This window comes from Homo sapiens, chromosome 2, assembly GCF_000001405.40.
Source record: "Homo sapiens chromosome 2, GRCh38.p14 Primary Assembly".
Lineage (NCBI taxonomy): Eukaryota > Metazoa > Chordata > Mammalia > Primates > Hominidae > Homo > Homo sapiens.
Genome location: NC_000002.12, coordinates 3,496,618 through 3,524,299, shown reverse-complemented (window position 1 = coordinate 3,524,299; position 27,682 = coordinate 3,496,618). Strand labels below are relative to the sequence as shown.

The 27,682-nt window shown below is 44.9% G+C and overlaps 1 protein-coding gene and 1 long non-coding RNA gene across 3 annotated transcripts, besides 7 other annotated features; one reads left to right on the top strand and one right to left on the bottom strand.

The window, feature by feature from the left end:
• Positions 1–205: 205 nt before the first annotated feature.
• On the bottom strand, positions 206–4,754 carry LOC124907725 (uncharacterized). The gene is made up of 2 exons (XR_007086195.1): positions 4,344–4,754; positions 206–1,394 (listed from the first exon to the last, which is right to left on the bottom strand). It is a non-coding gene; the product is annotated as an uncharacterized LOC124907725 (long non-coding RNA).
• Positions 4,061–4,581: an enhancer, noted in NCBI's record as "H3K27ac-H3K4me1 hESC enhancer chr2:3523490-3524010 (GRCh37/hg19 assembly coordinates)". NCBI's record gives its function as "activates a minimal SCP1, AML or CMV promoter by ChIP-STARR-seq in naive H9 embryonic stem cells {active_cell/tissue: H9 hESC(naive)}" and the evidence as "EXISTENCE:reporter gene assay evidence [ECO:0000049][PMID:30033119]".
• Positions 4,523–4,652: a silencer, noted in NCBI's record as "silent region_11113". NCBI's record gives its function as "represses an Ori minimal core promoter by ATAC-STARR-seq in GM12878 lymphoblastoid cells {active_cell/tissue: GM12878}" and the evidence as "EXISTENCE:reporter gene assay evidence [ECO:0000049][PMID:35858748]".
• Positions 4,523–5,103: a biological region, named in NCBI's record as "OCT4-H3K27ac-H3K4me1 hESC enhancer GRCh37_chr2:3522968-3523489".
• Positions 4,582–5,103: an enhancer, noted in NCBI's record as "OCT4-H3K27ac-H3K4me1 hESC enhancer chr2:3522968-3523489 (GRCh37/hg19 assembly coordinates)". NCBI's record gives its function as "activates a minimal SCP1, AML or CMV promoter by ChIP-STARR-seq in primed H9 embryonic stem cells {active_cell/tissue: H9 hESC(primed)}" and the evidence as "EXISTENCE:reporter gene assay evidence [ECO:0000049][PMID:30033119]".
• Positions 4,723–5,042: a silencer, noted in NCBI's record as "silent region_11112". NCBI's record gives its function as "represses an Ori minimal core promoter by ATAC-STARR-seq in GM12878 lymphoblastoid cells {active_cell/tissue: GM12878}" and the evidence as "EXISTENCE:reporter gene assay evidence [ECO:0000049][PMID:35858748]".
• ADI1 (acireductone dioxygenase 1) lies at positions 4,769–26,934 on the top strand. Of its 2 annotated transcripts, none has more exons than NM_018269.4 (4): positions 4,769–4,932; positions 10,324–10,443; positions 23,307–23,486; positions 25,218–26,934. In NM_018269.4, exons 1-4 carry the CDS (start codon positions 4,813–4,815, stop codon positions 25,335–25,337), a joined length of 540 nt encoding a protein of 179 aa, NP_060739.2. In that variant the 5' UTR covers positions 4,769–4,812; the 3' UTR covers positions 25,338–26,934. The 2 variants fall into 2 exon arrangements, with proteins under 2 accessions (NP_060739.2, NP_001293006.1); NM_001306077.2 differs by lacking the exon at positions 4,769–4,932 and adding an exon at positions 6,553–9,492.
• Positions 5,123–5,182: a silencer, noted in NCBI's record as "silent region_11111". NCBI's record gives its function as "represses an Ori minimal core promoter by ATAC-STARR-seq in GM12878 lymphoblastoid cells {active_cell/tissue: GM12878}" and the evidence as "EXISTENCE:reporter gene assay evidence [ECO:0000049][PMID:35858748]".
• Positions 5,663–5,862: a silencer, noted in NCBI's record as "silent region_11110". NCBI's record gives its function as "represses an Ori minimal core promoter by ATAC-STARR-seq in GM12878 lymphoblastoid cells {active_cell/tissue: GM12878}" and the evidence as "EXISTENCE:reporter gene assay evidence [ECO:0000049][PMID:35858748]".
• Positions 26,935–27,682: the final 748 nt, after the last annotated feature.

Genomic DNA, 27,682 nt, shown 5'->3' with positions numbered 1-27,682 from the left:
TTGAAGTCAAAACTATTTGTCTCACAATGCCAGGATGACATGTACCTTCTTCTCTGTGTTGAGCACTGCCCTCATGGTGCAAAGTCAGTGATGGGCTCAGCTCTCCGTGCCCAAGAGAGCCACGACATGGTACACACTGTACCAGCAGTCATTGTGTTTTTCACACACCTGCACTGGAACAACAGAAACAAAAACAAACCCCCGCTTCTCTTAAGAATGTCTTTAATGAAGCTGTAAAAATGACTGGTTTTATTAAATTTTGACCTTTGAGTAGACATCTTTCTAACATTCTCTGTGACAAATTGGGAAGTACACAGGAAGCATTTCTGCTGAATAGCTGAGTATGACTCAGGGAAATATTTTGGTTTTCCCAAGCTCAAAGTTCCTCCCCTGTAATGCAACCCACTGAAGATGCAGGTATCATCCCTTTTCAAGTTCCCTTGGTGGGGACTGGCGTTCAGCAACCTGTGCAAAACTGCAGACACTGTGGCCCCTGCTACCGCTGTTGCTCCTGAGTAATAGGCTGTGTTTTATCTCTGAGCCGATAATCTCTTGACTTCTGTTAACACCCATGAATCTGGGACAGGCTAATTTCTTAGCTTGCAGAGTGTAAACATCTCCGACTCTTGGCAGTTCTTTCCACAGGCCAGAAGTAAAGTACACTTGATCATCAGATAAAAATTAACTATTATTAATAGTGCATGGCAGGCATTGGCAAACTCCAGGCTATGAGCCAGATTCAGTCTGCTGCCTGTTTTTGTATGTTCCATGAACTAAGAATGGTTTTTATGCTGTAATGTGGTTGTTGTATAAATACCTACATACTATCCTCAATTTTGACTCGATCTACAAAACCTAAACGATTTACTATCTGGCCTTTTCCAGAGAAAACTTGCTGCCCGTCTATAGAGCCTTATCTGCGTTCCACATTCCAGCAGTTTGGATCTTCCTGTTCTTCTGTGGCTCTACTGTATCCCTATATGGTTTGTTAACGCGCCCCTGGGTTGGGAGCATATCACAAAGCCCAGACGGATAACAGTCTGCGCAGGTCTGCGGCGATGGCGACCATCTGTCTTTCAAAACATCTAAACAGATTCTTCCCAAGTGTCTTACATCGGGGTGATAAATTCTGGTCATGAAACATATTTTTGGGCTGCTGCTGGCTATTCTTCTGGAAGAGACAGTTCAAGTTCCAAAGATTCCTCTTCAAAGGAGGAATCCCATGGGCCGGCAATGTCCGTATGAAGTAATGAGTGCTGTTCTCATCTGATTCTGCCCGCTTGAACTCCTGCCAGCAGCAAGTGCTGGGCTGCCTTGGCAATTCCTCAGAGCCTCTCCATCATCTTGCTTTTCTAAAGTATGTTTTTTATGGCATAAAACTGTTTCCCCCATACCTAATAGGAAAAAAGGAACAGCTACTGAAGACAGAGGCTGACAAATGGTAGATACATAATGGTGTGGGGCTGCCGCAGCCTGGGGGTGGGAGGGGAACCGGAAGCACTCTTCCAATTTCAAGATGAAGTTTATTCTACGATGGGATGAAACCCACATCATTACTTCTTGTACTCGATTTTAGCAGTTATGTGTACAGGCTGTTGGGCTGGGCTCCCCAAGCTCAAATACCAGCTTTGTCACTTCTGGTTGTGTGACCATAAGTTACTTCACCTGTTTGTGTCCTAGTTGTCTCATTTGTTTTTAAGTGATATGGGGTCTTGCTGTGTTGCCCAGACTGGTCTCAAACTCCTGGGCTCAAGCAGTCCTCCTGCCTCAGCCTCCCATGTCTCATCTTTAAAATGTGGATAATAAGTCATACCAACTTCACAGTGTAATCATGAGGAGTAAAAATAATAATATGCATCAAATCTTTAAAATGTTACCCAGCACACACTACTATTATTATTGTCACAATTACTATTTTCTTTTTAATAAAAATATTTTTTGTAGAGATGGGGTCTTGCTGTATTGCCCAGGCTGATCTGGAACTCCTGGCCTCAAGTGATCCTCCCACCTTGGCCTCCCAAAGTGTTGGGATTACAGGCATGAGCCACAGCACCCAGCCTAGTACTACTATTTTCTAGTAAATGAGAAGCATTAGATATGAGATAGGAGTGCAGTTACAGTAAGACAGTAAAGACTATTTGGAGTGTTCCTCATCCTATCCCTTCATTCAACAAACTTTTAAAAAAATTGTCTACTATGTACCAAGCACTGAAGGACTAATAAGACACATTCTCTGACCTCAAGGTATATGCGGCACTCAGCAATACAGACAAATCCATTCATTCAGCAAGTACCAAACAACACATGGAGTGGTCAGTCCTTTGGTGAAAAGACATCAAGTCAACATGTCCTTACAAACTCTAAGCTAGCACCATGGCAGTGTTTCACACGGAGAGCCCATCTAGTTGTCTAGGGAGTGGTCAGAGAAGGCTTCTCTACGAAAGGGATAGTTAAGCTGAAATTAGAATTTTGTATAGGAGAAAAGTACTTGGAGGAAGGAAGAGCATTTTCAGTGGAAAAACTGCATGGGTGAAGGGCCCAAAGGAAGGAGGAGCATATGACTCAAATACACTGAAAGGCCAAAGTATCTGGAGGACAGAGAACAAGAAAGGAGGGCGATGGGCTGTGAGGTGGTCAGGCCGAGGCTATAGAAAGGAGGGTTGAAGCAGAAAAGGGGCTTGACTGGATTCCATGTTTTTTTGTTTGTTTGTTTTTTGAGACAGAGTCTTGCTCTGTCACCCAGGCTACAGTGCAGTGGTACAATCTCAACTCACTGCAACTTCAGACTCCCAGGCTCAAGCAATCCTCCTGTCTCAGCCTGCAGAGTAGCTGGGACTAGCGGTGCAAACCACCACGGCCAGCTAATTTTTGTACTTTTAGTAGAGACGGGGTTTCACCATGTTGCCTCGGCTGGTCAAGTGATCTACCCTCTTTGGGCTCCCGAAGTGCTGGAATTACAGGCGTGAGCCACAGTGCCTGGCATCTGGCTCCTATTTTTAAAAGGTCACTCTGGGTGCTGTGCATAGAATGGATTGCACTGGGGCAAAAATGGAAGCGGTGTGAGGAGGGGGAATTTCAGTAGTCAATTCCATCAGGCAAGAAAAGACTGCAGAAAGAGTTGGGCTGGAGAGAAGTGAATGGATTTGCGGTGTGTTTCGAAGGTCAAAGCAACATGACTTGCTGATAGATTGGATTGGATCTTGAGGGTGAGGAAAAGCAAAACTGAGAGTACACCTAGATTTTTTTATTAAGCCACTGGGCAGTCAGTGCTGCCGTTCACTGAGACGGGAAAGGTTAGGGAGAAGCATGTTTGGGGGTGTGTGTGGGGAATCAGTTGTTTTGGCCATGTTAGGTTTGACACACTGATTAGCCATGTATGTGACAACACCAACTGGATACTCAAGCCTGAGGTTCTGGAATGAGGTCCAGGTTGGAGATGTGGCTGCAGGAGCCGGCAGCACAGCATGGAAAGTCGCCTGGAGTGAGTGGATAGGAACAGGACGAGGAGAGTCTGGAACGCTCCACTAACCAGTGGTTAGAGGAGCAGGAGCTAGGAGGGGCCTGGGAAGGAGCAGCCAAGATGCCCTCATGAAGGAAAATGAGAAAATGTTTCAAGAAGGGCGTGGGCAACTGTGACGAATGTTGCTGGTAAGAACAGAAGTGCCATGATTGGATCTGGCAATATGGCAGTCATTAGCAGTTCCCCAGTGGTGAGAAGCGAAGCCTTATTGCAGTGGCTTAAGGAGAAAATGCGAGGTGCGAGATTGCCATTAGATTCTTGCATGAAGGTTTGTCATGAGTGCTGCAGAAAAATGGGCAATGGCGTCTAAGGTGTGTTCTTGAAGGATGAGTAGTAACTGGTCAAGTGAAGAGGTGGAGAGGTAGGCTCTCTAAGGAGGATGTATTTGCAAAGCCATTAGAGCAAGGGAACAGAAATGAAATAAGTGTGTATTTTTCTTGCAATATTTCTGGAAGTTCAAGAGTCAATTGCATGCATTGGGGTTGTGCTCTTACAGCAGTCTCATTTAAATCCTGTCTGCTTTATCGTTATTTGTTAAAGAGACTGAGGGAATGGCTGAGATAATCTGATCTTTTTCAACTCGTTGGTTTGAAAAGACATCTAGGATGGTCAAGCGGCTGGACTTTATTAGCTACATTGAAAAATTCAGAATGGGATAGGGGAAGCTTGTTTTTATTCTAAGACTAGCACATTACAGTGTATGGGGAAGGGAGAAACGATGAAAAGAGGAAACAAGAGGAAGTTTAAAAAGTACAGGGTAGCACTGCAGAATGCCGACACTGCAAAAGTCTGGCGAGCGGGGAGGTGGAGGACAATGTCTCACCTGGGATCCGAGCTGTGAAGTCTCAACTGTGCCCATATGGACTGCATGAGCTTAACAAAATCCTTATTCTTTTTTTTTTTTTTTTGCATTTGCTTTCCATACTCTAAACACGTTTAACGTCGTTTGCCTCACAAGATTGCTCTGAAGGTGCAGGGAGACCGCGGCAGCACACACAAGGCACGTGCGATGCCTACGGTGAGCTTCACCTGCCCGGCGCGTCTGGCGAACGGCTGGCCCCGGGCCGCGGGCCTCAGGCAGGTCCGAGGGTGCCCAGGACAGGGTCGGGGCTTGAATGCCTTTGCTTCCGAAAACAGCGGAGCCGTGGGGCCTCCCCCGCGCCGGCCCTGCCTCCAACCAGCCGCCCAATCCCGGCTCCCATGCGCGTCCACGCCTCCCTATAAGATAAAGCGCGGCCGACGGGCTCCGAGCGCGGCCCCTGGGTTCGAACACGGCACCCGCACTGCGCGTCATGGTGCAGGCCTGGTATATGGACGACGCCCCGGGCGACCCGCGGCAACCCCACCGCCCCGACCCCGGCCGCCCAGTGGGCCTGGAGCAGCTGCGGCGGCTCGGGGTGCTCTACTGGAAGGTACGCGAGCCCAAGCCTCGCAGAGCGTGCGGGCGACGCCGACCCCCAAACGCCGCGCACAGCCCAGCCTCCTCCAGGTGCCGGGCAGCGGCCTGGGAGCCGCGGCATGCTGCGCATGCTCAGCAGCGGGATTTGGGGGTTCGTGGCGGCTCCCGGTGCCTGGGGTGGGCTGCGCATGCTCAGCAGTGGGGCTGGGTGGTCAGGGCCTCCTGCGCGGCGCCTGGGTGTGCTGCGCATGCTCAGCAGCGGCGTTGAGGGGTCGGCGGTCAGCCCCCAGCGCCTGTGGTGTGCTGCGCATGCTCAGCAGCGAAGTTTACGGGGTTGGCGGTCGGCTTCCGGCGCCTGGGGTGGGCTGCGCATGCTCAGCAGCGGGGCTGGTGGGGGTCGGCGGTCCGTTTCTGTTGCCTGGGGTGTGCTGCGCATGCTCAGCAGCAGAGTTGGCGAGTCAGGGGCCTCGCAGCCGGGACTCGCTGCGCACGCGCAGCTCCGGGATTGGCAGCGACCTGAAGGGTCGGCCGGCAGGGCTGCAAGATTCGCCGGAGGCGGGCTGCGAGTTCGTGGGCTCGTTGGGCTTGTCCGACGCCCTGCCTGCCTGGCTAACCTCGGTCAAAGGCCCAGGGGTTTCTTCTATCGGAGGAAGGGGGACTCCGCTTGAAAGTGTCCTGGGGGAGGGACCGGGCGCCAGCAGATCGAGGCGGGGTCCTGCCGCGGTCTGTCGGGGATCCCCGGGGGGTAGCGCTCGGTGGTGGGGTGGGGGCGTCTCCAGTGGGCGGTGGAGCTGGCTTGGGTCCCGGCTGGGCCCGGTGTCAGCCCTGCCTCTGTAACGCTAGCTTTGCAAGGCGGGGCTAGGCTTTGCACCGGTGTCCCGTTGCTTGCACAGCACCAGTCCAGATCCGCTCACCTTGTTTATTTGCAAATGGTTTTGCAGTAACAAAGGTTTACTGCAAAAGAGAGGGCCAGGGTAGGCCTCAGGGATAGGCTGAGGGGTGACTGGATCTAATCTTCATTCATGTGATTTAAATGAAATACACAGGGTTACCTGGACACCACACTTTTTCCCTTGGGAAAGGATTATAGAATATTCCAGCATAATCTATTTGGATATCATCTTGTTCTATCCTAAATAACAGAAGAGGGAAGTGACAATTGGCATACCAGTGCGAAACAGGGCATGCATGTTAATGTTTACATAGTATTTGTCTTTTCCTAGGATAAGGTTTAACACTTACCTTGCTGGAGGGTACTTCTTCAAAGCAATCAAGTGGTTTATAGTTTTCCATTAATGAGAGGAGAATAAATTTTGACTTATTATGTTTATCCACAATCCAAACAACCAGAGGGTTCAAATTAATACACTTGGGGAGTTTCATTGTGCATTTGACGGTTTTAAGAACAAGAACAAGAGTGAGATTACAGGTCAGCTTCTTAATGTATTCAAAGAATAAAATAAGATTTATTTTAATAGACATCTTTTAGATTATTACATGGGCTCAAACATAGTTTTTCCTACCGTCTAGTTCTGCTCTGAGTCAGGGCTATCAAAATTAAATCATGTTTACTCTGTGGTTTTAATGTCCTGTGTGTTTTTATATTCTTCCTTTCTTTTTTTTTTTTGCTCTTTTTGCCCAGGCTGGAGTGCAGTGGCATGATCTCGGCTCACCGCAACCTCATCTTCCCGAGTTCAAGCCATTCTCATGTGTCAGCCTCCCGAGTAGCTGGGATTACAAGGTGCACAGCACCATGCCGGGCTAATTTTGTATTTTTAGTAGAGACAGGGTTTCTCCATGTTGGTCAGGCTGATCTTGAACTGCTGACCTCAGGTGATCCACCCACTTCGGCCTCCCAAAGTGCTGGCATTATAGACACGAACCACCGCACCCGGCCTATATGCTTTCTTAATATCCATTCTGGATCAGTGCTGTTGGAAGACAAAATTACAACAAATTTAGTTAAAGATCTAATTAGCTTTTATTCTTGATTTGTGAATAGGGCAACCTCCGTTCTACAAAATAGAATAAGAGCTCGATAGGGTAATAGCACAACAGTGGGTTTTGTAGGGCGGCAACAAAGAAACAGAACAATAGGTAGAAAAGCTGATTGGTTAACGTCAAGTTACATTAGGTTACTTTTTTCCTAAGGGTTAAAGCAGAAGCGACTTCCTTATTATTCTGACTCAGGAAGACTGGAATCTTCTGATCGCAGGAAAAGCTGGTCTGTTTGAGATGCACCTCCTTCTTTAAAGTTTTAGTTTGATCAAGTGGCATATGGCATGAGTGGCTGCATTTTGGTTTGGTCTCATCCTGGGGCCTAGTGCAGGGGCTCAGTCCAAAACAGTGACCTCTCCTGGGCCAGGCATGGTGGCTTCTGTCATCCCAGCACTTTGGGAGGCTGAGGCGGCAGATTGCCTGAAGCCAGAAGTTTGAGACCTCATCTCTAAAAAAACCCAAAAAACAAAAAAGCCACACACACACCCCATATTAACATTATATATATGTAACATCTCCCATAATTTTTAACAGAGGTAACACATGTGGACATGTTTGTGTATCTGTTTAATCAATCTGTTATTAGTGACATAGAGTTCTAAAAAACCTTTTGTCATACATACAAACAATTGGAAGATTATTTTAGCTTGGAATAAACTAAATACCTGCTGCTATAACAAAATGACAAAAATAGCTTAAACTGGGCAATTTATAAACAACAGCAATTTATAGAATTCTTATAGTTCTAGAGGCTAAGAAGTCCAAGATTAAGGTGCCAGCAGATTTAGTGTCTGATGAGGATCCTGTCCTCATAGACGGCCATTTCCTTGCTCTGTCCTCATGTGGTGGAAGGGGCAAACTGCTCTCTTACATCTCTCTTGCTCTTTTTTTTTTTTTTTTTTTTTTTTGAGATGGAGCCTCGCTCTGTCACCCAGGCTGGTAGCGCAGTCTTGGCTCACTGCAACCTCTGCCTCCTGGATTCAAGTGATTCTCCTGCCTCAGCCTCCCGAGTAGCTGGGATCACAGGCGTGGACCACCATGCCTGGCTAATTTTTGTATTTTTAGTAGAGATGGGGTTTCACCATGTTGGACAGGCTGGTCTTGAACCCCTGACCTCAGGTGATCTGCCCACCTTGGCCTCCCAAAGTTCTGGGATTATAGGTGTGAGCCACAGTGCCCAGCTCCATCTCTCTTACAAGGCCACTAATCCTATAAATGAGGGCTTGCCCTCATGACTTAATCACATCCTAAAGGTCCCACCCCTTAATACTATCACATTTGTGTTAAGTTTCAACATTCGTATATTTAAACTTATGACACGTGTCATATAATGTGTCATATTACATATTATGTGTCATAATATGGACACATTCAGACCATAGCAAATAGTACTGTGCATATCATGCAGTGGATAGGCTAAGTTTTAGAGTCAACTTTGTAGAAAATAACGTATTGATGACTAGTACTTTAATATGTTCTGGAGTATCGGGGGAACCCACCCCCAATATTTCAACATAGGTTCCATTTTCCATAAGTGTCGGCCAGCTGAGAAATAAAGAGAGACAGTATAAAGAGAGGAATTTTACAGCTGGGCCGCCAGGGGTGACATCACATATCGGTAGGACCGTGATGCCCGCCTGAGTCTCAGACCAGCAAGTTTTTATTAAGGGTTTCAAAAGGGGAGGGGGTGTAAGAACAGGGAGTAGGTACAAATATCACAGGCTTCAAAGGGCAAAAAGCAGAACTACTAATAAGGGTCTAACAAAGATCACATGCTTCTGAGGGAACAGGACAAAGGGCAAAAGCAGAACCACTGATAAGGGTCCAACAAAGATCACAGGGCAAAGGGCAAAAGCAGAACCACTGATAAAGATCTATGTTCAGTGCTGCACATATTGTCTTGATAAACATCTTAAATAACAGAAAACAGGGTTCGAGAGCAGAGAACTGGTCTGACCACAAATTTACCAGGGTGGAGTTTTTCCCCACCTTAGTAAGCCTGAGGGTACTGCAGAAGACCAGGGCGTATCTCAGTCCTTATCTCAACCGCATAAGACAGACATTCCCAGAGCAGCTGTTTATAGACCTCCCCCCAGAAATGCATTCCTTCCCCAGAGTATTAATATTAATATTCCTTCCTAGGAAAAGAATTTAGTGATACCTTCTCTACTTGCACGCCCATTTATAGGCTCTCTGCAAGAAGAAAAATATGGGTGTTTTTGCCTGACCCTGCAGGCAGTCAAACCTTATGGTTGTCTTCCCTTGTTCCCTAAAAATCGCTGTTATTTTATTTTTTAAGGTGTACTGATTTCATATTGTTCAAACACACATGTTTTACAATCAATTTGTACAGTTAACACAATTATCACAGTGGTCCTGAGGTGACATACATCCTCAGCTTACGAAGATAACAGGATTAAGAGATTAAAGACAGGCATAATAAATTATAAAAGTATTATTTGAGAACTGATAGATGTCCGTGAAATCTTCAAAACTTATGTTCCTCTGCCATGGCTCCAGCCGGTCCCTCCATTCGGGGTCCCTGACTTCCTGCAACACTGGAGTTTGTTGTTCAGTAAGTAGTGATGATATAATGTGCAGTTTATTGCAAAACATAAAGTGTGCTAGATTCACTGCCAGTAGTTTTAAATAAGAGTTCAGATGAATTCTGCCTGGAGCTTCATCAGGGAAGTGCTTCGTCAGGAAGGAACAGTAAAACTGAACCTTAATAGAGATAGGATTGTGATAAATGAAAATGTTGAATGGGAATTTTAGGCATAGAAAGCTGTCATGAGCAAGGTTGTGGGGATGTGAAATATCAAATATTTTTAAGATAGCCGATCATCCTATTTGGTTTAGAATGTAGAGTTCTTTAAAAAGTAGGAGATGGGAACAGATAGAAGTAGAAAAGTCAGCTGGGGCCAGATGATAGAAGGTTTCTCATTCCAGTTTAATTAACTTGAGTTTTATTTGCAAGCTGTGAGAGCATACAATGTTTTGGCTCATGGAAACAAACTGACCAAAGAGATGGCATTGAGGATCAATGAGACTCATGAGTGGGATGGTGGCAGAGAAACAGGGCACAGTGAGGGACCTGTGGAGTGGACAGAAAGGCCTGAGGTGGTGAGACTACCATCTCAAAATGGGAAAAAGAATCCCCTGGGATGGACTGTTGCAGAGAAGGGAGGCAGAAATCAAACAGAACTCCATTGTATGTATAGCTGGTGTTTTGGAGAATGGAAAATCCATTAAATGGCTAGAGGAGATGAAGAGAGTTAGTTGAGGGTTGAAAAAATAACAAATGATAAATTTGGAGTATAAAATCATATTGGAGATCCAGAAAGAGAATGTTTCTACATCTCCTTGTTAATCTGAGCTCTTGTTTTTGGTGGGTTAACTCTTTTAGCTGGATGCTGACAAATATGAGAATGATCCAGAATTAGAAAAGATCCGAAGAGAGAGGAACTACTCCTGGATGGACATCATAACCATATGCAAAGATAAACTACCAAATTATGAAGAAAAGGTAAGGGAGCCCTGGATTACCTGGAAAAGAAGTATCATTATATTCACTACTAATAGACGCAATATTTTCTTTCTTTTTTCTTTTAATGTCTGTATGAGGCCATTCTTGCTTTGCTATAAATAAATACCTGAAACTGTGTAATTTATAAGAAAAGAGATTTAATTGGCCCACAGTTCTGCAGGCTCTACAGGAAGCATGTGCTTCCTGTCACCACCATCTGCTTCTGGGGAGGCCTCAGGAAGCTTACATGGCAGAAGGCAAAGAGGGAGCAGGCTTCTCACATAACAGGAGTGGGAATGAAAGAGAGAGCAAGGTGCCACACTGTTTTAAATGACCAGATCTCACAAGAAGTTACTCACTGTAGTGAGGATAGCACCAAGAAGATAGTGCTAAGCTATTCATGAGAAATCCACCCTCATGATCCAGTCACCTCCCACCAGGTCCCACTTTCAATACTGGGGATTACATTTCAATATGAAATTTGGGTGGAGACACAAATCTAAACTGTATTATTCTGCCCCGGCCCCTCCCAAATCTCATGCCCTTCTTGAATTTCAAAATACAATAATCTCTTCCCAATAGTCCCCCAAAGTCTTAACTTCCTCTAGCATTAACTTAAAAGTCCCAAGTTCAAGTCCAAAGTCTCATCTGATACTCATCTCCTTTTACCTATGAGCCTGCAAAATCAAAACAAGTTAGTTACTCCCAAGATACAAAGCGGGTAAAGGCATTAGGTAAATATTCTCATTCCAAAAGGGGGAAATTGGTCAAAAGAAAGGAGCTACAGGACCCATGAAAGTTCAAAACTCAGCAGGGCAGCCACTAAATCTTAAAGCTCCAAAATAATACCCTTTGACTCCATGTCCCACATCTAGGGCACACTGGTGCAAGGAATGGGCTCCCAAGGCCTTAGGCAGCTCTGTCCCTGTGGCTTTGCAGGGGCTCCTGAGGTTGCTCTCATGGGATGGCTTTGAGTGCCTATAGCTTTTGCAGGTGCAGGGTGCAAGCTGCCAGTGAATCTATCATTCTTGGGTCTGCAGGATGGTGGTTCTCTTCCCACAGCTCCTAGGCAGTGCCCCAGTGGGGACTTTGTGAGGGGGCTTCAATCCCACATTTCCCCTCTGCACTGTCATAGTAGAGGTTCTCCATGAGGGTTTCTACCCTGCAACAGACTTCTGCCTAGACACCCAGGCTTTTCCATACATTCTCTGAAATCTAGGTGGAGAATCCCAAGCCTCAACCCTTGCACTCTGTGCACTCACAGGCTTAATAACACATGGAAGCCACAAAGGCTCATGGCTTGCACCCTCTGGAGCTGTGGCCCAAGCTGTACCTGGGCCCTTTTGATCTGAGGCCAGAACCCTAGCAGAACCCGAGCAGCTGGGATGCAGGGAGCAGTGTCCTGAGGCTCTGTAGGGCAGAGGGGCTCTGGGCCTGACCCATGAAACCATTCTCTCCTTTTAGACCTCTGGCTCTGTGATGGGAGGGGCTGCTGAAAGGTCTCTGAAATGCCTCTGAGGTTTTTTCCCCATTGCCTTGGCTGTGTTTGAAGTTATGCTGATTTCTCTAGGAAGAGGTCTCTGAAATGCCTTTGAGGTTTTTTCCCCATTGTCTTGGCTGTCAGCCCTTGGCTTCTTTGTAGTTATGTGAATTTCTCTAGGAAGTCGTTGCTCTACAAGCCTGCTTGAAATCCTCTCTCAAAAACTTTTTCTTTCTTTGCCATGTGGCCAAGTTGCAAATTTTCCAAACTTTTCTGCTCTGCTTCCCTTTTAAATATAAGTTCCAACTTCAGGTCATTCCTTTGCCCTTGCATCTGCGCATAGGCTGTTAGAAACAGGCAGGAAACATCTTGAACACTTTGGTGCTTAGAAATTTCTTCTACCATATACCCTAGGCATCACTCTCAAGTTCAAACTTCCGCAGATCCCTAGGGCATGTACAGAATGCAGCCAAGTTCTTTGCTGAGGCAAACGTGTGATGTTTGTTCCAGTTCCCGATAAATTCCTCATTTCCATCTGAGACCTCATTAGCCTGGACTTTATTGTCTGTATGACTATCAGCATTTTGGTCACAATGAGTTAACCAGTCTCTAAAAAGTTCCAAACTTTCCCTCATCTTCCTGTCTCCTTCTGAGCCTTCTACACACTTCTAGTCTCTGCGTGTTACTCAATTCCAAAGCTGCTTCCATATTTTCAGGTATCTTTATAGCAATGCCCCACTCCTTGGTACCATTTTTTCTGTATTAGGTTGTTCTTGCATTGCTATAAAGAAATATCTGAGACTGTGTAATTTATAAGAAAATTTATAATCTGCAGGCTCTACAGGAAGCATGTGCTTCCTGTCACCACCATCTGCTTCTGGGGAGGCCTCAGGAAGCTTACAGTCATGGCAGAAGGCAAAGAGGGAGCAGGCATCTTACATAACAGGAGTGGGAATGAAAGAGAGAGCAAGGTGCCACACTGTTTTAAATGACCAGATCTCACAAGAAGTTACTGTGTAATTTAGAAGTAAATTATAAGAAAAAGGTTTAATTGCATCTCAGTTCTTCAGGCTGTACAGGAAACATCTGCTTCCTGGCACCACCATCTGCTTCTAGAGAGGCCTCAGGAAGCTTACAGTCATGGCAGAAGGCAAAGTGGGAGCAGGCATCTCACATAACAGGAATGGGAACAAGAGAGAGAATGAAGTGCCACCCAGTTTTAAATAGCCAGATCTTGTGAGAAGTCACTCACTGTGGTGAAGACAGCACCAAGGGAGTGGCGCTGAACCATTCATGAGAAATCCATTCCCGTGATCCAGTCACCTCCCACCAGGCCCCATCTCCAACACTGAGAATTACGATTTAACATGAGATTTGGTTGGGGACATATTGCCAAACTATATCAATGTTTTAGTTTGGATTTCATATCAGAGTAATTCTGATCTCATAAAATGAGCTGGAAAGTAGTCCCTCCTGTTCAGTTTCTTGGAAGAGTATGTGTAGATAGTATTATTCTTTCCTTATGTTTGGAGATTCACCAGTGAAGCCATCTGGCCTTGTAGTTTTCTTTGTGGGAAGGTTTTTAACTGTGAGTTCAACTTCTTTACTAGATGTAGGGCTATTCAGGTAACCCATTTTTTCTTGAATGAGCATTATTTGTTTGTTTCTCTCAAGGCATTTGTCCATTTCATTTGAGTTGTCAAATTTATTGCCATAAAAATATTTGGAATATTTTCTATTATCCTTTTAATATCTGTAGAGTATGTAGTGCTGTCTTCTCTCATTCCTGATACTGATAATTTGTGTTTTTTCTCCCTTTCCTGAGTCTGGATAGAGGCTTATCAATTGTATTGATCCTCTCAAAAAACTTTAGGTTTCATTGATTTTTCTCTTTTTCTATTTTTTGTTTCATTGGATTCTGCTCTGACATTTATAATTTGTCTTCTTTTACATGTTTTAATTTGCTCTTTTTTCTAAGTTCCCTAGTTGGAAGCTGAAGTCACTGATTTGAGTTCTTTCTTTGTCATTATTATTATTATTATTCTAGAAACAGACATTATTATTATTATTACTTTGCTCTGCCACCCAGGCTAAAGTGCAGTGGTGCAATCATAGCTCACTGCAGTCTTGAATGCCTAGGCTTAAGCAGTCCTCCCACTTCGGCCTCCTGAGTAGCTAGGACTACAGGTATGTGCCACCATGCCAGGCTAATTTTTTTTTTTTTTTTTTTTTTGAGACAGAGTTCCGCTCTTGTTGCCCAGGCTGGAGTGCAATGGCACAATCTCGGCTCTCCGCAACCTCCGCCTCCTGGGTTCAAGCAATTCTCCTGCCTCAGCCTCCTGAGTAGCTGGGATTACAGACATACGCCACCATGTCCAGCTAATTTTGTATTTTTAGTAGATACGGGGTTTCTCCATGTTGGTCAGGCTGGTCTCAAACTCCTGATCTCAGGTGATCCTCCTGTCTTGGCCTCCCAAAGTGCTGGGATTACAGGCATGAGCCACCGCACCCGGCCTGCCTAATTTTTTTTTTTTTTTAATTTTTTGTAGCGTTGGAATCTCACCAGGTTGTTCAGGTTGGTCTTGAACTCCTGGCCTCAAGTGATCCTCCCTCCTCGGCCTCGCAGAGTGTTGTTTTTCTTTCCTTAGTACGGGGGTTTAGTGCTGTAAATTTTCCCCAGAGTACTGCTTTAGTGGCTTCACACAACTTTTGATAATTTCGATATACTTTTTATTTTCATTTCATTTTAAATACATTCTAATTAATTTACTTTTTAATTTTATCTTTGACTTGTGTGGATGTTTTGTTTTGTTTTTAGATATTTGTTAGTTTCCAATTATTTGAGGATTTTTCTAGATTTTTTTATTTGTTTCTAATTTATTTCTGGTGTAGTCAGAGAATAAACTTTGTATAATTTGAGTCTTCGTAAATATATTGAGACTTGTTTTATGGTCCAGAATGTTATCTGTCTTGGTGAATGTTTCATGTGAGCTTGAGAAGAATGGGTATTCCATTGTTGTTGAATGAAGTAATCTATGAATGCCAATAAGAACAGTTGATTGATGGTATTATTCAGATCAACTATATCTTTACTGATTTTCTGCTTGCTGGATGTCAATTACTGTTAGTATTGAAATTGCCAACTGTAATAGTGGATTTGTCTATCTTTCTTTGCAGTTCTATCAGTGTTAGCCTCACATATTTTGATGCTCAGCTGTTAGATAAATATGTGTTTAAGATTGTTATGTTCCCTTGGAAGATTGACCCATTTATTATTATATAATGTCCCCCTTTATCTCTGATGATTTTGCTGTTTTTAAAATTAAGATAGCTCCCTTGGCTTCTTCCCCTCCCTCCCTCCCTCCCTCCCTTCCTTCCTTCTTTCCTTCCTTCCGCCCTCTCTCCCCTCCTCTCCTCCCCTCTCCTCTCCTTTTCTCCCCTTCCCCTTCCCCTTCCCTTCCCTTCTTCCTTTTTTGACAGAGTATTGCTCTGTCACCCAGGCTGAAATGCAGTGGTGCCATCATGGCTCACTGCAGCCTCAACCTCTCAAGCTCAAGTGATCCTCCCATCTCAGCCTCCCAGGTAGCTGGGACTACAGGTGCACACCACCACAACTGGCTAATTCATTTTTATTGTTCATAGAGGTGGGGTCTCCCTATGTTGCCCAGGCTGCTTTTGAACTCCTGGGCTCAAGTGATCTTCTTGCCTTGGCCTCCCAAAATGCTGGAATTACTGACATGAGGCACTGTCTCTGGCCAGCATTTTTTTGATTTGTGTTAATATGGTATATCTTTCTCCATTCATTTACATTTAACCTATTTGTGTCTTTTTATTTAGAGAGGGCTTCTTGTAGATGACATGTATTATAGTTAGTTTTTTTAATCCATTTCGATGGTTTCTTTCTGTTAATGGTATATTTAGATCATTCATGTTTAAATTGGTTATTAATACAGTTGAATTAATGTCTACCATATTTGGGACTGTTTTCTATTTGTTGTGCTTGTTCTTTGTTATTGTTTTTTTTTTTTTTTTTTTTTTTTTTGAGACAGAGTCTCACTCTGTTGCCCAGGCTGAAGTGCAGTGGCACGATCTTGGCTCACTGCAAGCTCCACCTCCTAGGTTCATGCCATTCTCCTGCCTCAACCTCCTGAGTAGCTGGGACTACAGGCACCTGCCACCACGCCCAGCTAATTTTTTCGTATTTTTAGTAGAGATGGGGTTTCACTGTGTTAGCCAGGATGGTCTCGATCTCCTGACCTCGTAATCCACCCTCCTCGGCCTCCCAAAGTGCTGGGATTACAGATGTGAGCCACCGTGCCCGGCCTATTGTTGTTTTTAAATATTCCCCTCTTTTTCTGCCTTGTCTGGTTTTAATTGAACATTTTATATGATTCTGCTTTCTCTCCTCTTAGCTTATCATTAAAAAAAAATTTAGTGGTTGCCTCAGAGTTTACAGTATACATTTACCCAATAACTGAGTGTTCCCAATTCCTCCCTCCCATCTCTTACAATGTTGCTGTTATTTATTTTATTCTCCATATGTTATAATCACCTAATACATTGTTACTGACATTACTTTGAATAAACAGTTATCGATTAGATCAATGAAGAACAAAGAAATAAAAGATTTTAGTTTTCTTCTTATTTCTGTTCTCTCTTTCCACTTTACTTAGATCTGAGATTCAGACCTATATAATTTTCTTTTTCATTTGAAGAACTTCTGTAAACATTTATTTGCAAGGTAGGTCAGTCTACGGGCGACAAATTCTTTTCATTTTTGTTTGTCTGAGAAAGTCTTTATTTCTTCTTCACTTTTAAGGGATAATTCTGCTGGATACAGATTGCTAGGTTGGTAGTTTTTTTTTTCTTGCTTGCTTGTATAGTTTCTGAGGAACGGTCTGATGTAATTCTTTTTCTTTTTTCTTCTATAGGTTAGGTGCATTTTTTCCTTTGGCCTTTTTCAAGGTTTTCTGTCTTTTGCTTTCTGCAGTTTTAATATGATATGCCTAGGTACAGATATTTTGGCATTTATCCTGCTTGGTGTTCTCTCAGTTTCCTGGATCTGTGTGGTGTCTGTCATTAATTTTGGAAAATTTGTGGACAGTATTTCAAATATTTATTCACTTTTTTCTCTTCTACTTCTGTTATACCATTTATACATATGTTACATCTTTTATAATTGTTCCACAGTTCAGGGCTATTTTGTTCTCCCCCAATCCCTGCTCCCCATGGACATGTCTTCAAGCTTGCTGATTCTTCCTTCACAATTGTGAGTCAATTAAACTTCTTTCCTTTATAAATTACCCAGTCTTGGGCAGTTGTTTATAGCAGCATAAGAACGGACTAATACAAAGGGCTCTATGGAAAAAGTAGACAACATGCAAGAACAGATGGGTAATATAAGCAGAGAGAGGGAAGCTCAGAGAGAGTCAAAAGAAAATGCTGGAGATCAAAATCACTCTAACACAAACAAAGAATACCTTTTTTTCATTGTATTGCCTTTGGTCCTTTGTCAAAGATCAGTTGATCTATTTTTCTACTATTTCACCAGTGTCTCAGTCTTGACTACTATAGCATGATAGTAAGTCTTGAAGTCAGGTAGTGTCGGTTCTTCAACTTTGTTCTTCTTCAATATTGTGTTGGGTATTCTGGGTCTTGTGCCTCTCCAGATAAACTTCACAGTCAGTTTGCTGATATGTGCAAAATAACTAGCTGGAACTTTGAATTGGATTGTACTGAACCTATAGATTAAGTTTGGAAAAATGGACATCTTAACACTACTGAGTCTTCCTATTCATGAACTTGGAATTTCTCTCCATTTGTTTAGTTTTTGATTTGTTTCATCAGAGTTTTGTAGTTTTCTTGTAGATCTTATGCATATTTTGTTAGATTCATACCTAAGCATTTCATTTTTGGGGGTGCAAATGTATATGGTTTTGTGTTTTGAATTTCAAATATCACTTGCTGTGTTTCTGGTATATAGGAAAGTGATTAACTTTTGTGTATTAACCCTGTATCCTGCAAACTTGCCATGATTGCTTGTTAGTTCCAGGAGCTTTTCTTTGTTGATTCTTTTGGATTTCCTACCTAGACAGTGATACCATCTGCGAGCAAAGGGAGTTTTATTTCTTCCTTTCTAATCAGTATGCCTTATATTTCTTCATATTGCATTAGCTAGGACAGTCTCAGTCTTGTAGTCAGCCTGTGCCTCTGGGCTGTGAACTTCACCAGCGTTTCTCAGACTCCCTCCTTTAAGTGGGACATGATGGCTGGAAGCAGCTGGACTTGGGGTTTCCCTTCCTCTCCTGTCTTAGTCAGCTCAGGCTTCCATAAGCAAATACCATAAACTGGGTGGCTTAAACAACAAACATTTATTTCTCACAGTCTGCAGGCAGGGACGCCCAAGGTCAGGACACTGGCAGCTTTGGTGTCTTGTGAGAGCTGCTTCCTGGTTTATAGACGACTGTGTTTTCACATGGTGGGTGGGTAGAAGAAGCAAGCTCTTTTGGGACTTTTATAAGGACACTAATCCCATTCATGAGGGCTCCACCCTCATCACGTTATCTAATCCTAATTACCTCCCAAAGACACCACCTGCTAATACCACCATATTAGAGGGTAGGGTTTCAGCCCATGGACCCGGGGGAGGGGGATCATAGTATTCAGTCCATAACATGGAGTTCCGAAGGGGCTGGAGTTTCGTGTTTCCCTTCACCCAGGTCAGGCTCTCATGAAAGCCCAGCAGGCTGGGATCTGGCTGGCTGAGCTCTCCTGAGTTGAGGCCTTCATAAGAAGAGATTTCAGATGTATCCTGATAGACTTCAGAATGGCCCCCTTTCCCTCCCTCTGCCAGAAGCACAGGGAATTTTCCCTGATACTCACTGTTGGGACCCAGTAGAGCTTTTGCAGGTAAAATTTACAAAAGTGTGAGGCCCCTGATGACTGGGTCTGGAGTTTTTTTTAGCTCTCAGACTTGTCTACACTGAGCCCCCAACTGGTCAAGTACAGTTTGGGTTTCTCGACCCCAGCCCTGCTTCCCATAGGGGTTTCTGCTCTGGTTAGGTGTGGATCTTTCTGTCTGCCTGTCTCTCCAGTGTGAGGGGCTGTGGTTTGCTCTGTGACTTCGCTTCTCTTACAGATTTAAAAAGAGTTGGTTTTTCAGTTTGTTCTGCTTTTACTTGATAGGATGGAGTGGTGGCTTCTAAGCTCTTTAGAAAACATATGCAGGTGAACAAACAATATAAACATACGCAGGTAAACTGACAATACAAACATACACAGGTGAACCAACAATGCAGACATACACAGGTGAACCAACAATACAAACATAGGTGAACCAACAATGCAAACATACTCAGGTGAACCAACAATACAAACATACACAGGTGAACAGACAATACAAACATACACAGGTGAACAGAAAATACAAACATACACAGGTGAACTGACAATGCAAACATACTCAGGTGAACCAACAACGCAAACATACGCAGGTGAACCGACAATACAAACATACGCAGGTGAACCAACAATGCAGACATACACAGGTGAGCCAACAATAGAAACATACTCAGGTGAACCAACAATACAAACATACACAGGTGAACAAACAGTACAAACATACACAGGTGAACAGACAATACAAACATACGCAGGCGAACAGACAATACAGACATACACAGGTGAACCAACAATACAAACATACGCAGGTGAACCGACAATACCAGATAGAACTAAGAGCAGAAGAGCTTAAGGATGTGGAAATTGTTCAAAAATAGATCTGTCGTGTGAGTTCCTTTTCTCTATGTCAAATGATTCTTCCTGGTTAGAGTCCACATATTGTCTTTATTTCTCACTGAGTGCCCTACAGTTCATTAGATTCTGGTGGATGTAAATGGTGTGACTCTGACGTGGAAGTTGAGATGAGCCAGCCTCTTCTCAGCCACGTTTTATCTCACATAACAGAGGCTGGCCTGCTGCTGATGTTGTAAGTTACATTAGCTTCATCATTGCTGTTTTCTGGAATTACTTCTCTCCTGGTATAAAACCCTCTTGCTGATACCGGCTTATTCTTTGTTTTTCTAAAATAACCTTATTTTCTGACGATCTTGTGATTGCCACTGGTTTCCTCAGTGTTAGGTCGTGTGTTTGTAGCGGAATCCTACGCAGTGGTGTTGTGAGTAAGCGTGTCCGAGGGCCCCTCACTGCTGATGTCAACGTGCCCTGGGTGAAATCGGCGTCCGTCAAGTCTCTCCATGGGGAAGTTCCTTTTCTTTTCCTCTGTAACTAGTAAGAAATGTGTGGAAAGTTACTTTTAGACCATGAATATCCCATTTCCCCTCAAACTTTCACTCAACGTTTTTCGTAAGTCGTGATGATTCCTGCCTTTGTGGGCTGTGACTGTCATGGCCGTGCAGTGGCGCTCACCCGGGGGTTGGTTTTCACTGTCAGGAGGCATGTCCCCCTCTTCTCTGTTCACTCGGCATCCACTGGGGCTGGAGGCCTTCTTGTCTCACTTGTTGGTCTAGGGTCTATTCTTGCTGGGATTTATGTTGATCTTCACGTTGTCCCAGACCTCAGGCTTGGCAAGCAGCAGCCTCGTTAGCTGACTTCTGTCCCCTGGCGCATCCCCAGCCCATTACTTTCTGGACCTACAGCGTGTCCAGGCCCACCTCCTGCTTTTCCTGACCTTGTGCGGGGTCAGCTGCTCTTCCTGGCACTTAGCCCTGGCACTTAGAAACTCGGATGGGAGTGCCCTGCAGAGTCGCTGTGCTCAGGTGCTTTCTGTGGACGGGATGAGTACCATGCGAGTGAATGCACGTGTGTGAGTGTGTACGTGTGTATGTGTGCATGTGAGTGTGTGAATGTAGGCGTGTGTGTGTACGTGTGCATGAGTGTGAATGCACACGTGTGAGTGTACGTCCGTATGTGTGCATGAGTGTGAATGCACTCGTGTGTGTACGTGTGCATGTGTGTGAATGTGCGTGTGAGTACGTGTGTATGTGTGCATGTGTGTGAATGTGCGTGTGAGTACGTGTGTATGTGTGCATGTGTGTGAATGTGCGTGTCAGTGTGTATGTGTGCATGTGTGTGAATGCACATGAGTGAGTGTTACGTGTGTGCATGTGTGTGAATGCACATGAGAGAGTGTTACGTGTGTGCATGTGTGTGAATGCATGCATGTATGTGTGCATGTGAGTGTGAATGTACGCATGTGAGAGCGTGTACGTGTGTGTGCGTGTGTAGGTTTGTGTGTGAATGCTAGCATGGGAGTGTGTGTGCTTGTGTGACAGTGCGCCTGTGTGAGTGTGCATGTGTCCCTGTGTGTGTGACAAGTAGTTCAAACAGACACCTCTAATTCCAGTTACATCCACAGGGCTTTCCTTTGCCTTCCTCATCAGTATTTGTATCTTTCCTCTCACTGTGAGAGGCCTGGCTCCCAGTCATATCAATGTTTTTTCCCATCCTCTCAATCCCCACAACACACACAACAGCATCAGCATGGCAGCACCCAGACCATGACAAGCAGCAGGCCTACTGAGTGCAACCTAAGCTTGGGTTGCGGTTTTTCTGTCTTAGCCTGAGGATGTAGTCAAAATAATATGTTCAAGAGTTATTTCCGTTTGTCGCCGTGTGCGGTGGCTCACGCCTGTAATCCTAGCACTTTGGGAGACTGAGGTGGGCAGATCACCCAAGGACGAGAGTTCGAGGCCAGCCTGACCAACATGGAGAAACCCCGTCTCTACTAAAAATATAAAATTAGCTGGGTGTGGTGATCATGCCTGTGACCCCAGCTACTTGGGAGGCTGAGGCAGAGAATTGCTTGAACCTGGGAGGCGGAGGTTGAAGTGAGCCGAGATCGCGCCATTGCACTCCAGCCTGGGCAACAAGAGTGAAATTCCGTCTCAAAAAAAAAAAAAAAAAAAGAGCTATTTCCGTTTGTCTTTTCTTTCTGTGTGGCTATGAATAGACTGATTTCAAATTTAAGGTTTTCCTCCTAATCTTGTTTTCATTTTATTTATGATTTTGTAACACATAACAAGGTAGGCTGGGGGCAGTGGCTCATGCCTGTAATCCCAGTGCTTTGGGAGGCCAAGGCAGGAGGATCACTTGAGGCCTGGAGTTTGAGACTAGCCTGGGCAACATAATAAGACCCTGTCTCTAGAAAAAATTTTTTTAAAAAATTAGCCAGGTATGGTAGTGCACGCCTGTAGTCCCAGCTACTGGGAAGGCTGAGGCAGGAGGATCTCTTGAGCCCCAGAGTTTGAGGCTGTAGTGAGTCATGATTGTGCCCCTGCACTCCAGCCTGAGCAACAGAGTGAAACCCTGTCTCTGTGTGTGTGTGTGTGTGTGTGTGTGTGTGTGTGTGTGTGTGGAGCGGGAGGTGTGGAGATATGAACAGTGCAGGCAGAATCAGATTATAAGGGCACAGTCTTGGTGAAGGGGGTATGGATATTTACTGTAAAATACTCTCAATGTTTTTGCATACTTGAATATTTTTATTATAAAATATTAGGAAGAAAACACTTTCAGAAAGACACAAAAGTCAGACCAGGCGTGGTGGCTTCCACCTGGAATCCCAGCACTGTGGGAGGCCGAGGCAGGTGGATGACCTGAGGTCAGGAGTTTGAGACCAGCCTGGCCAACATGTTGAAACCCCATCTCTACTGAGAATACAAAAATTAGCTGGGTATAGTGGTAGGTACCTGTAATCCCAGCTACTTGGGAGGCACGAGAATCGCTTGAATCGGGGAGGCGGAGGTTGCAGTGAGCTGAGATTGTGCCACTGCACTCCAGCCTGGGCAACAGAGCGAGACTCCACCTAAAAAAAAAAATACACAAAAGTCAATGTGAAGACATAGAAAATGCTTGTGGAGTCTGTGCCTGCCTCCCTGCAATGTCCACTGGCTTCTCACTCACCCTGTGTGTTGTGATTTCATGACTGCTGTGTGCAGCACACTGGGTGGGTGTGAGCATGGGGCCAGGGTGTCTTTGGGGCAGTCTCGTTGTGTGAGGTTGGGCCAGTGACTTAGCCTCTCTGTGCCACCATTTCCACATCTGTAAAACGGGGCTGATAGAGCAGCCACCTCGTGGGGCCGTGCGGGTTGGGTGAGTTGGCCTGTGTGAAGTGTTCAGAACCTTTGCTTCAGGTCTGTTCACTTTCAGTTACTGCCCATTTGTTGACAGGTTTCATAAAATATTCTAGCTCTGGCCCTTGTACTGTTAGGAAAATAATTCTTAGCAAGTGTAGTTTCATTTTTATGGAGAGAAGTCCCATTCACCTCAGCTCTGGCCCACCAAAGGCTCAGGCTGCTGAGTGGGTGGGTGTGAGCTTGCGTGACAGGTCTCTGGTAGACTCACAGGAATGTTCCTTCTGCACTAGATTAAGATGTTCTACGAGGAGCATTTGCACTTGGACGATGAGATCCGCTACATCCTGGATGGCAGTGGGTACTTCGATGTGAGGGACAAGGAGGACCAGTGGATCCGGATCTTCATGGAGAAGGGAGACATGGTGACGCTCCCCGCGGGGATCTATCACCGCTTCACGGTGGACGAGAAGGTGGGAGTGCTGTGCTTTCTCCCCAGGCCCGGCCTGTGTGGTGGCCCTGGCCGTGGCATCTCTGCCGCTGAACTGCGCGGCTTCCGCAGACTCCAAGCGCGGTCGCTGGGCTCGGGACTCCTCGACCTGTGCTTCAAGGAGAGTCTGTGGAGCCGCAGGCGATGTCCGAGGTGACAGCTGTCCTTCCGTGGCAGCCTCCGTGGCCCCTGCCTGCGATCCTGGTGGACAGGTGTGCATTTCATACCCAGGCGGGGCAGGTACAGGCGGCGGCAGGTACATGCGGCGGCAGGTACACACCCACGAGCCTGGCCCTGCCCCAGCCCTTGCTTGGCGGTGAGGCATCTCTAGGGTTGTCACCCCAGCCCGTGTTTGGTGGTGAGGCGCCTGTAGGGTTGTTATGTTGCCATACTGTCACTTTTAAAAACATTTCAGTTTTGGAATTGAACAGTAACGCAGTCCAGTCAGGATTGGCAATAAACACAGATAAGGTAGTTTTGGGGTTCACTGGAGGCGATTGGGGTAATGCTGATTTAAGGGTAATTTTTGAATAAATACTAAATGCACATGGTTTAAAATTTAGAAATATGAAAGGGGACCTGGTGAAAGGTCTCCCTCTGACCCCTGTTCCCAGCCTCCCAGTTTCTCTCCCTGAAAGTAACCAGTATTCCACTAAAAAAATTATTTTTAGAGTGACTTTACACATATCCAAGTGCATGTCAGTCAGGATTCTTTTTTTTTTTTTTTTCTTTGAGATGGAGTCTCACTTTGTCGCCCAGGCTGGCATGTAGTGGCTTGATCTCGGCTCAATGCAACCTCCACCTCCCAAGCTCAAGCGATTCTCCTGCCTCAGCCTCCTGAGTAGCTGGGATTACTGGGGCACACCACCACGCCCGGCTAATTTTTGTGTTTTTAGTAGAGACGGGGTTTCACCATGTTGGCCAGGCTGGTCTCAAACTCCTGACCTCAGGTGATCCACCCACCTTGGCCTCCCATGGTTCTACATTTTACTTTTTTCTACATGATGTTCACTGGGGACTGTTTCATTTCAGTGTCTACAAGCCTCAGCCCTGATTACAGCTGCACAGTACTCTGGCGCTGGACATGCTGTACTGTATTTAACCATTAATTTATTTCAGTGAGTCATTGACCCCCAACAATGAGTATATACATTGTTCTCAATTTTTTGCTCTTGTGAACAGGGCTGTAATAAATACCCTTACATGCTTGTCATTTTGCACTTCTGTGTGTTTTTCTGTAGGGTAAATTCCTAAAAGTAAAAACTGAATTAAAAGGCACGTGCGTTTTTAGTCTGGACGGATGTGGCTGAATTGTCCTCTCCTGCCCACCAGCAACATGTGGGCCCTGATGCTAATTCTTAGGAAAACTGTAGCCAAATGAGGCGGAGAGGAGGTGGAGGGTACATGGGGTTGGAGCCAGTGCTTTTCCTGACTGTGTGTCTCTATAGAGAGCACGGAGGTGCGGAGTTCAACACCAAGCCTCAGCTCCAGATGCTCTTACCTGGCACGTGAGGACAGGCAGGGCCAGCTGCACCACCTGATACAAATTTTCCTTCCACGAATAAAATGTGGCCTAAATTGTTAAAGACGCAGAATAAAAATAGCAAGTAAAGTGTTTATAGCAATTAATGTTAACAAGTTGATATGTTAATAAATACTAAGTAGAAGGCCGGCTGGTTTAATGAGATGCTGGGTGTGTTTGTCTGTTTTCCAGAACTACACGAAGGCCATGCGGCTGTTTGTGGGAGAACCGGTGTGGACAGCGTACAACCGGCCCGCTGACCATTTTGAAGCCCGCGGGCAGTACGTGAAATTTCTGGCACAGACCGCCTAGCAGTGCTGCCTGGGAACTAACACGTGCCTCGTAAAGGTCCCCAATGTAATGACTGAGCAGAAAATCAATCACTTTCTCTTTGCTTTTAGAGGATAGCCTTGAGGCTAGATTATCTTTCCTTTGTAAGATTATTTGATCAGAATATTTTGTAATGAAAGGATCTAGAAAGCAACTTGGAAGTGTAAAGAGTCACCTTCATTTTCTGTAACTCAATCAAGACTGGTGGGTCCATGGCCCTGTGTTAGTTCATGCATTCAGTTGAGTCCCAAATGAAAGTTTCATCTCCCGAAATGCAGTTCCTTAGATGCCCATCTGGACGTGATGCCGCGCCTGCCGTGTAAGAAGGTGCAATCCTAGATAACACAGCTAGCCAGATAGAAGACACTTTTTTCTCCAAAATGATGCCTTGGGGTGGGGAGTGGTAGGGGGAAGAGCTCCCACCCTAAGGGGCACACACTGAGTTGCTTATGCCACTTCCTTGTTCAAAATAAAGTAACTGCCTTAATCTTATACTCATGGCTTGGAGTTACCTTATATTCAGGTATATGTGATATTTTGCCTGGTTTGTTAAAATTGCCCCATTTAGATTCCTTCTATAATTGTTCTTATAGATAAGTAATTTATATATGAGCTGTGTTAGTATTTTTTCAGTGTGAGATCTCTGGATTCTTTCACAATAAAGCTGTTGAATTTTAACAGGAGTATTAGTACATAAATTTTCTACTCAACAATTCCGAGATAGGATTATGCCTAGTTTGTCATATCACAGAAAAACTCCAAGTTAACTTCATGTTTTGGAAGGGCAGGTCGTTTTTAAAGTATTTCTTTTTTTAACTGGATGAAAAATCTTCATGTTAGGATTAATTTTCTTAATCACCTCCACACTGTACAGAGGAAACTCAAGCCTTAAATGTTTAAGTAAACTCTGTCTCAGTTTTAGGATTAAAATACCCACCGGTGGTGTGATGATGCCATATACCGCAGGGCTTGCTTCTGTCAAGTGTGACTCTATCTCAGTAATTAAAATAAGTGCTGATCTACTGATTTTTTTTAATGGATTCATTTCTAAATGGGCATTATAAATAGAGCTTGTTCATTTTTAAGAACGAAACATTCATATGATAAACTATCGCTTTAAATTGCCTTTCTTGCTTCATATAACTTTTCCCTGTCAGGATCCTTAGTGTTTGAAACTCCTCGTGCGGGGCTGGCCTCCTGCGGACTCTAGTTTCGCCTCCTTGATGTGGCGCCTGGGATTTCTTCACTTCAGAGCTGTATTTTTACAGGCAAGAGTAAGTTCCTGGGCACAGTGGCTCATGCCTGTAATCTCAGCTACTCAGGAGGCTAAGGTGGGAGGATTCTTAGAGCCTGGGAGGTCGAGGCTGCAGTGAGCTGTGATTGTGGCCACTGCACTCCAGCCTGGGTGACAGAGCGAGACTCTGTCTCAAAAAAGAAGAAAGAGTAAGAGCTGAGGCATATAATAGAATTCTGCTAAAGCACTTAAGGTGAAATCACATTTTCTTTTCCCAGGATGTTGCTCACATCTTTCGTTTTTATTGAGGTGTCATTTATATACAATAAAATGTACTCATTTTCAGTGTTTTTGAATTTTGACAAATGCAGCATGACCTCAGGCAGAACAACATAGGACATTTTCATCACCCAAAGAAGGTTCTCATGCCCCTTCTTAGTCCCCCCACCCCATCCTAAGCAACCTATGTGGGTGGGTTTTGGCTTTTCTAGAATTTGATGCACGTGGAATCCTGCAGCATGTTCACGTTTGTATCCGGCGTCTTGCGTTCCTGCTTCTGTTCCCTGATCCCTACACTTACACTGTCTCCTGGGTCAGGGCAGCCCCTTGTTAGTATCTTAAACAATGGAACGGTTTGAGGAGAGCTCGAGGGTTGAAAAACACTAAGCGAGCGGAAATGTAATGTAGTAAGAAACAGAACTCTAGGCGGGGAGAAAACCTAGGGAGGTAAAAGGCTGTTCTTCCCGAAGGCATCACTGTAAAGTAGTGGGGGGGTCTCTCTTCAAGCCGAATGTTAGAGAAGACGGATCCTTGGCTGGGCGCGGTGGCTCACGCCTATAATCCCAGCACTTTGGGAGGCCGAGGTGGGCGGATCACCTGAGGTCAGAGGTTCAAGACCAGCCTGGCCATGATGGCGGGTGCCTGTAATCCCAGCTACTCAGGAGGCTGAGGTGGGAGAATTGCTTGAACCCAGGAGGCGGAGGTTGCAGTGAGCTGAGATCTTGCCATTGCAGTCCAGCCTGGGCAGCAGAGCGAGACTCTGTCTCAAAAAACAAAAAAAAGAAGATGGGTCCTTTATAAACACATTCGTTAG

Excerpts from the sequence above, each read along its gene's own strand:
- ADI1 (NM_018269.4), top strand. The coding sequence starts at position 4,813 with ATGGTGCAGGCCTGGTATATGGACGACGCCCCGGGCGACCCGCGGCAA. Across the intron at positions 4,933-10,323 it reads TCGGGGTGCTCTACTGGAAG|CTGGATGCTGACAAATATGA; the intron begins GTACGCGAGCCC and ends TAACTCTTTTAG. Across the intron at positions 23,487-25,217 it reads GCTTCACGGTGGACGAGAAG|AACTACACGAAGGCCATGCG; the intron begins GTGGGAGTGCTG and ends TCTGTTTTCCAG.